This window comes from Homo sapiens, chromosome 2, assembly GCF_000001405.40.
Source record: "Homo sapiens chromosome 2, GRCh38.p14 Primary Assembly".
Lineage (NCBI taxonomy): Eukaryota > Metazoa > Chordata > Mammalia > Primates > Hominidae > Homo > Homo sapiens.
Genome location: NC_000002.12, coordinates 16,120,435 through 16,130,140, shown reverse-complemented (window position 1 = coordinate 16,130,140; position 9,706 = coordinate 16,120,435).

The window sequence follows — 9,706 nt, the reverse complement described above, 5'->3', positions numbered from 1 at the left end:
CCTCCTCTTGCCAGGATCTGGTCACTTTATTTCTATTATATTTCACAGTCCTGGTTAATAATAATTATTAAACCCAACTTGCATTCATTCAGAAAGCAATAGTATTGATTGATACAAATTAATTCAATGCTATCTAATGTTTTGGTTTAACAAACATTTCATGAGGCATTTCTGAGTCTTGGGAGGGATGGCGGTGGCTCAGACACAAATCTTCCCCTCCGAAAGCTTGGCATTCTGTGGTACTGCGGAAATCAAAGAGTGGATTCTGGCATGGCACAGAGACCATAGAATGCTTCCTGGAGAAGGTGCCCATTAGAAGGGTCATTGAAGGAAAAAGAAAATGTGAATTTAAGGAAAAATACATTTCAAGCAGAAGAAAGCTCATGAAGAAATGCCTCAAGGCAGAAACATATATACAAATGTTTAGAAAATGGTGTCTGGACCTATTGGCTTGAAAATAAGAGATACAATAAGCTGCTGAGGTTAACATATATGAGATCTTCTTCCATAAAGTGCATTACTCTTGCAAATGTAGGTGTTTATTTTAAAGGTTGGAAAGGCAAACTGTGGACAAGTGAGAAGTTTTGAATGCCACACTAAAAATTGTTTTTCTGGTCAACTGGGAGCCAGCGTGGGGTTTCTACAGGAGGCTGGTAGGTAGGGTCAGACGGTGGCTCCAGAGGAACCTTCTGGAGACTACGTGGTGAGGAGCCTGGGGAGAGATGAGACCAATATTAAATGGCACCAGGGACAACTGATGAAGTCCTAAACCAAGGCAGAGAAGAGACAAGACCATAGATGTGGCTGATGAAAAATGCAGTGTCCCTCGGGGAAGGTATAGGGTTTCCCAGGAGCACATGTCTATGCAATCGGACAAATACAAGTGCTTCCTCCCCCACTCACCTCTGTTACTACTCATAAGACTTTAGGTGAAGACTCTGAACCTCATTTTCTCATCTTGACTGATGCAAAAACACAGCATCCATCGGGGAAGGTGTGGGGTCCCCCAGAAGCCACGTCCTCCTGGTCCACGCATTATTCAGAAGTCACGTCTTCCTGGGTGACCTCACACCTTCCCTGATGGATGCTGCGTTTTTGCGTCAGCCACATCTATGGTCTCGTCTCTTCCCTGCCTTGGTTCAGGACTTCATCAGCTTTTGCTGGCGCCATTTAATATTGGTCTCCTCTCTCTCCAGCCCCCTCACCACCTAGTCTTCAGAAGGTTCCTCTGGAATGACAGTTTGACCCTACCAGCCTCCTGTTGAAGCCCCATTAGCCCCAAAGATGCTAATACCTCCTGCTCCCTGGGGTTGCTGTGTGGATTAAATGAAATTTTGCACCTCACTCAGAATAGTGTCCAGGTCAGCTAGTTCCCTTCCCCCTACTTTCACAAACAGGAAAACTAAGAAGGGGTACATCTTTGCCCAGAGGTCCACAGCTTAGATGTGTTCTGTGGTCTTCATTAGTCAACCTATTATCTTTCTATGTTTCCAAACTTCTATGACATTCCTTTTATTATATACCAAATGCAATTTTTGTTGGCAAATCTTTTTTGAAAAAATGAATCACAAGGTAAAAGGATCTATTAGTCACTCACATGCAGAAATCACTTCTGTTAGATCTAGCAGCACAAAGAAAATTTTAAAAGATACGTTAGAAACAAATACATTCTGGGCAGCTGTTAAATTGCATTTGAGTGAAGGTTATGTACTCTGTGAGGGACAAGTGACTTGAGTGTGTTTTCTTACTACGGCTGGCTGACGCTCTGCCCTGGCATGCTGCAGGAAGCCAACGAGACATTTCCAGATAGTCACTATCCAGAGATGTGGCCACAAACCAAGGTCCCACAGGCTCCTTGTGACATAAGGGAGTCAATGTTTCTTTTGCACGACCCCAAGCAAGTCTCTGGTTTGTTGGAAAGCAGCTCTCCTCTTATCAGTCGGGCTAACAAAGTGAGGGAGCCAACCCTCCATCCAGGAACAACGAGCCCAGCGCAGCGGGAGATCAGAGGGAGACCAAGGTCGTTGGCCTGCACAGTCCAGGGTTGACCTTGACTGTGGAAGACCAGAAGATGGGTCAGAGGGAATCCCAACTCCGCAACCTCCTAGCAGTGTGCCCCTGTGCAGGTTGCACAAAATTGTGGAGCCTCAGTTTCCTCACTTCTAAACTGTGAACAATAGTACCTACCCTGAAGGGCTGTTTGGAGGTTACAGGGCCTAGTAGATATAAAAGTCCTTCGGAAATTGGAAAATGTTGTCCCTATAGAAGACAATACTTTGATGACAGTAGAGCTCCCCAGCTAAGGGGCTCTCAGGCCTGACACATCAAAGGAGAGGAGAGCAGGGCAGGATGAATCGATATCCCGGAACACTCATTCGGGTTCCATTCAACCAGCAGTCTTTCCCTCCCTGGCCACACAGCCTCTCCGAGACATGCAATCCTTAGTAAGCCACTTCACTTCTTCAAGCATTACCACCCCTCACCAATCTAATGGACACAGTGATATCTACTTCTCCCAGCATGTGAACTTGTGGCCAAGACCATTCACAAAATGCACACGTGATTTGAAAGAAAGAAGCTCAGCACACATGGCATGCTAAAATATTATCCCTGCCCCGTCCTTCCCGGTGTATGAACTAGGTGAACTCAGGCAAGGCATATGACCACTCTGAGCCTCAGTGTCCTCTTCTATAAATGGATATTAAAGTACTTAATCCCCGGGCCCACATGAAATGAATAACCTAATAAAGAAAGTACCCAGCACCATCCCTGGTCCATGGCAGCTTCACAAGTGGTGATCTCATTTCTCCCCTCTCATTCCTGTCCCCTACTCTGCCCCCAAGGTGGTTTCAACCCTTACGTTGCTGCCCCAGACCCTTGGTAAACTACAAAGCAACCTGAAAAGCTTCTTCAATCTCCTTTATCCAGGGTTTAATTATGCCTTTCCTTGATTAGGAAAAGCTATGTCTAGTACCTGTATACTCCTCTTGCTCCAGTAAAAAGGCCAGAACTAGTCAGCCATGGTAAGTGACAGAGGGTCCTAAATACTGCCTCCAGTGTTTGTATGGGGTAGGACCATGCAAATCACCTCTGATCCACAAACCCCCAAGCTTAGGGGACCAGATAAAAATAAGGATGCATCTCAAAGTCATTATAAGATAAACGGAAATCCTCTCCCGGTATATAACCTAGCTTTATTTTAGGAAGTGGATCCGACCATTCCTTCTGTGGGCAGAGTAGTATGAAAAGTTGAGTGACTAATCCAAGATTAATATTGGCTCAGTGCCTGCTGGGTAAGAAGCATTGTGCTAAGCACTTGGCATGCAGTGGTGAAGAAAACAGAGTGACTGCTGTCCTTGTAGAGAAGACCAACAATAAAACCATAAGAACCAGTGTCACAAACGTCAGGGAAAGAAAAATAAAGAGTGCCAGAACCTAAACTCATCCTGGGAGCCCAAGAAGGCTTTTGCTGAGACCTGAAGGTTGAGGATTGAGGCAGGAAGAGGCTACAGGGAAGGTGTCCCAGGCAGATGGGTGGAGAGCTAGTGAAGTTTGGATTCACATGTGAGTCTGTCTGAATTCAGAAACTGGGCTCAATTCAGTACAAGAGACCACTAGCAAGGAGGTCAGGGGACCTGCTGGGACCTGCCGAGATTGCTTGCGAGTCTTTGTGTTTGTGCACATGTGCGGTTTCTGGGGAGCATCTGTAGCATCCTTGGACACTGAAAAGAATCCATTACCTCCCTCCTCTCCCCCAGGCCAAGAACAACTGCACAGGGATATTGACACACCATTTCCTGCTGGGAAACCATCCTGTGCATCGTCAGGTGGGTAACCAGAGTCACTCTGGACTCTCCCTAGTGAGGCAGCAGCCTGAGTGGGCTCAGAGCCTCTTCTCAGCCATTCTATCAATGGTTCGAAAAACCCTGCTTCCCACACCCAACCCAGCCCAAGCCTGTGTGCTGGGGGCAGAAGCTGCGTGGAGAGGGGGCTCCTCAGGGGTGATATCAGGATCACTAACGAGGGGAGTGTCCTCACCAGACCCCTTCCCTAAGCGCTTATCTATTATTCATGGCCAGTAAGAGGCCAAGCTTCCTTCCAAGAGAGAAACCCAGTGGCTCAGAGTGCATGGCCGAGGCCAGGGGAGGAGGGCTCCAGGGACAGCCCCGGGGAGCAGTGCAAGGTCCCTGTGGTGGAGGCACAGGGCTGGAGGCAGCCTTTAGGGGGTGGGAAGCGGGGAGCAGGGCCAGGTCAGGCTGATCCCCAGCCTCCTCCTACAGGCACAATGCTGCGTCTGATGCAGCGGCCTCCGCCTGCAGGCTGATATGTCTGTCCCATAAATAATTTACACCCTCCAGGAAATGGACCACAGAGATGCCAAAGCCATTAGAGGGCCACAGATGGGGGAAGGAGACATAGAAGGGGAGAAAACACGGAGACTCTGGACTGGGCTGGGCTGGGCAGCGTTTCTGGCCCATCCCAGCTGCAGGCCAGCCAAGCAGTCTCACGCCCACGTTCTCATCTGAGGTCAAAACTGCCCCACTGGGTGTACATTGTCATTTTTATTTTCCAGGTGAAGAAAACGAGGCTCAGAGAAGCTCAGGGATTTGCCACAGGCTGCACTTCTTGACCACATTCAAACCAGACCTCAAACCAGGTCCTCAGATGCTGAATTTGTCTTTCAAGCAGAAGGATTTCACTAAGAAACCATGGTTTCCTCTTTATCGTATTAACCCTGGCTGCACAGGAGAGGAGGCAATACCAAACCATGTGTGCTTATTTCCCAGGGCCGCTGGAACAAAGCACCACAAACCCAGGGGCTTGGAACAGCGGAGATTTATTCTGTTCTCCCAATTCTAAGGATAAATGAGGGTTTGAATGTTCTCCCAGTCCTAAAGGATAAAAGTCCTTGAGGTGTCATCTGGCCATGCTCCCTCTTGAAGCCTCCGGGAGAGGATCCTTCCTGGTCTCCGCCAGCTCCTGGCAGCCCCAGGGATTCCTTGGCTTGTCACAGCCCCACTCCAATCTCTGCCTCTGTCTTCCCTTTCTGTTACCATGTACAAATTTCCCTCCTCTAATAAAGACACCAGCCATATTGCAGTAGGGGTCCACGTGCTCCAATGTAACCCCAACTTAGCTGATGACATCTTCAATGACTCTATGGCCCTATTTCCAAATAAAGCCACATTCTGAAGTAGTGAGGGTTAGGATGTCGACAATAATTCTGGGAGACATAGTTTTTTGTTTGTTTTTTTGAGACAGAGTCTCACTCTGTCGCCTAGGGTGGAGTGCAGTAGGGCTATCTCAGCTCACTGCAACCTCTGCCTCCCAGGTTCAAGAGATTCTCCTGCCTCAGCCTCCCCAGTAGCTGGGACTACAGGTGTGCACCACCACACAGGCTAATTTTTGTGTTTTTAGCAGAGACGGGGTCTCAACATGTTGGCCAGGCTGGTCTCAAACTCCTGAACTCAAGTAATCTGCCCCCATCAGCCTCCCAAAGCTCTAGGATTACAGGTGTGAGCCACCACTCCTGGCCTGGGGGACGTAATTCAATCTGTGACAACACACCAAATGGAAAAATCTTGGTTATGAGAGCTGGGCAAGATTCAATGAATCCTGGCCTTCTTCTCCCACTGCAAGGACTATGGCTGCCTGTCTGTTGCAGGGCCTTCTGGCTCAGGACTGCAGAGCATGCACAGGAGAGAGCACTGGGCAGGGAGTCTGCAGCAGCAATGGGACCAGAGCCATCCTGTTGCTAGCTGCTTTTGAAAACTTCATTGGCAAATTACCTTTTCATCCAAGGTTTTATGAGGTTTTCTTTTCCTCGGAATCCAAATGATGATATTCCTTTGGTTCAGAAAATATTTCCTGAGCAATTGCTGTGTGTTAGCTCCTATACAGAGCACTGGACATACAGCAATGGATAAAATGCTGTCTGCTCCCACTCCCACTCGGAGCTCAGACTCCAGAGGCACAAGCATTTGAGTGAGTAGATAATTAAACCACTGAGAGATAAATGCTGCAATAAAAGGGTGTTCTGAATGCCACAGAGTACAGAACAGCAACAAGCTGATCTCTGAGTTATCGTCATCACTCACATTACCAAGCTCGATCTGAGCCAAAATGGATATATTGCCTCCAGCGAATATGCACAAATCTGGGTTTCTTTTGACATTAACAGGTGGCTTGCTGCAGAAGCACACGGTACTCTAGATAGGTAATGAGGCTCAAAAGCTCACTACTAGCGACTTCAGCACTGCACACTATGGAGCCAGAGAAGAAACGGGCAAGTGCAGGCCAAGCAGCCCACAATATCCCAGTGCAACATGGCCTTATGGTACCTACTTTCCTCTTGGTCACAGCAGGGCCTTATACCACTGGAAAATTGAAAGCCCTTAAAATGCTTCTATCATATATAGCAAACAACCCCCAGGGCACAAGTGCTGCAGCGTTCAGGGCCCTGGAGGCAACTGCATGAATGGAGCCTCAGGTTTGAGATTCCAAGTCCTCCCGTGTAGATGGGCTGTCTATAGCAGAGCCCTGGCAATGCCACCCTGGTGACAGCTGCGGGGACGGCCATGTGAGGCAGCCCATCCTATAGGCGTTTTTATCGGAGATGACAGCTTCCCTACTGCACAGCCCACATCCCACGGGAGGCAAGGAGCAGCTGGTCATCCACAAAAGAACTTTGATGTCGATATCAATTCTCTAGACCATGAACAGTCAGTTCACACGCAAAAAAAAAAAAAAAAAAAAAAAGGGAAGCAAAGAGTCAATAAGTGCATGAAAAAATGTTCAGGCTATCTCATACTTAAGGAAATGCAAATTAAAACAACAACAGGTTTTCCGATTTGTGTTTATTAAAGTAACTCTATATACATGTATATACTTGCCTGTGCTCAACTCAGGAAAGATGCAATAAAATAAGTGGTGCCTGGAAAAGAAATTTGACAATATATACCACCACCCCCTAAAAATGCACAAAATTTGTTCTATTAAGCTATATTAAGTAAATAATCTAAATATGTTTTATACAGAAAGGTGGCTGTCCTAGAGCTACTTACAATAAAACAAAACAGGAAACAACATAATTGTCCAAAACAGGGAAAAGATTAAATAATGGTACATCGATAAAGTAAAATATTATGATGTCATTAAAAACTACATTTTTTAGACAATTTAATAAATGTGAAAATGTTTATTAAAATAGAAAAGGTAGGCTGGGCTCTGTGGCTCATGCCTGTAATCCCAGTATTTTGGGAGGCCGAAGTGGGTAGATTACTTGGGGCCAGGAGTTCAAGACCAGCCTGGCCAATAAGGCAAAACTGTCTTTACTAAAACTGTCTCTACTAAAAATACAAAAATTAGCCAGGCATGGTGGTACATTTCTGTAATCCCAGCTACTTAGGAGGCTGAGGAACGAGAATCATTTGAACCGGGAGGCAGAGGTTGCAGTATGCCGAGATTGCACTCCAGCCTGGGTGACAGAGCCAGACCCTGTCTAAAACAAAAAGGGCAAAAGAATTACACAAATTATATTTACCATTTGATACTTACCATGTGAATATGTGTTTTTAAAAGATTGGAAAAATATACTAAAACAGTAATAGTGACTGCTTCTGTAAGTGGGATTATAGATTAGATGAGAAATGTTTCTTCTTTGTAATTTCCAACTATTCTTCAATAACTATAGACTTTTGCGCTAGTTTGAAAAATGTTTATAGTAATTGAACTTGTTTTAAAAATATATGGGTTTGTTTACATGTTTCATTACTCTGACAGCACTCAGCTATTGCCCAACAAGGAATATTAATGTAGGTGAAAGAGATAGTGATGACTTCTTCAAAATTTTCACTCAATACATTTGATCTTTGTGTTAAATTGTTGGTTGTCAGTCGGATGCAGTATCTCACATCTGTAATCCCAGGACTTTGGGAGGCTAAGGTAGGAAAATCACTTGAGCTCAGGAATTCAAAACCAGCCTAGGTGATATAGCGAGACATCGTCTCTAAAAGAAATCAAAAAAATTAGCCAGATACGGAGGCATGCACCTGTGGTCCCAACTACTTGCAAAGCTGAGGGTGGGAGTATGGCTCAAGCCTGGGAAGTCAAAGCTTCAGTGAGCTGTGATTGCACCATTGCACTCCAGCCTAGGCAACAGAGGAAGATCCCGTCTCAAAACAAAACAAAAAACAAAACAAAAAAAGACTGGTTGTTGTTGTACTATTTCCTAAATATTTTGCTGCATCTGGGTCAACTGAAATACTGCTAACTTTTCGAGGCCCTGCTCATGTTTTATCTCTTACTGAAAGACTCCACAAAAATTCAGTCCACAGGAACTTCCTCCCCTCCTTGGAAATTTTTTGAGCGTGACATACTGTATAATCTAATGAGCAGTAAATATACATTACATAACCATGTCTTTTCATTCTCTCTATGTGTGTGTTATCTCTTCATTGCTGGGTTTTGCACTCTTGAGAGTAGATGTATCAGTTAGCTATTGCTGCATAACAAATCAGTCAAAAAGTTAGTGGCTTAAAATCACCAATCTTTGAGTTGTCTGGGAAGCTGGAATTAGCCGTTCTCGGCTGAACTCACTCATGTGTTCATGGTTAGCTGGCAGATTGACTAAGGGCTAACTGGTCTACAGTGAAGCCTCAGTTGGTACAACTCGTCTTTGCTCCATGTATCTTAACTTCCAACATTCTAACCTGGGCTTTTTATTGTGTGGAGGCATGACTCAAAGAAGGTAAGTGAAAACACAGAGGTCCTGTTGAGGCCTAGGCTCAGAACTGGCACTATCAGTTCTGCTATATTTTATTAGCTAAAATAAGTCGCAGGGCAAGCCAAGATTCAAGTGATGAAGAAGTAGGGCCCACCTCTTAGTGAGAGGAGCTGAAAAGTTGGATTGCATGGATAAAGGAAGGAAAATAAGTAGGATACTTGAGCCATGAGGCTCAATTTTTTTCAATTCTATATTATGCCTAGTAACTTATCTGGTGTATAATATAGGCACCAACCATTTTACAGATTGCTAACAGCTCTATTCCCAGTTCCTTGTTTTTTCCCCCTCACTCTTTCTCTCTCTCTGCTCTGAATTGCAGGAGCCTGGAAGCCTGAAAACCACATATATGCACAGCCCAGATTCCCTTGCCAGCTGGCTTTAGATAGGGCTCTGCCATTGGGAGACACTGCCTGGAGACACTCCTCTTGAGAGGCAGGAGAAAGAGAGAAGCCATTTTGTTTTTCCTACTTTTGCTTCTAGCAGCAGCAACAAAAGTGGCAGGCAAGTGTGAATCCTGGGTTTCTGCTACTCAGGCAGCACAGATCCTTTGGTAATGACATTATGAGAAGGGATGTGCCAGCAGCATGGCACTCACAGACTCTGACTCTAGCAGTGGCAGCAGCATGTCAGCAATCTCAGGGGCCTGATACCTGAGGGTTCTGACCCTGGAGGAACAGAACAGAAGCAAGCCACTGTGACCTCCCAAGAGCCTGTGCTCTTAACAGCAGCAGGCATCTGATTTCCTGAAAAGCAATGTGTTTGCAGCAATAGCAGCAGTCATTCCAACAGCTCCATGGCATCAACAGTCTTGGACCCTGGCAACCAACTTCAAAATTGCGAACCTGAGGTTAGTTATCTAGATGTATAGTGAAAATGGCATACTAGCCGGGTGCAGTGGCTCACCCCTGTAATCCCAGCACT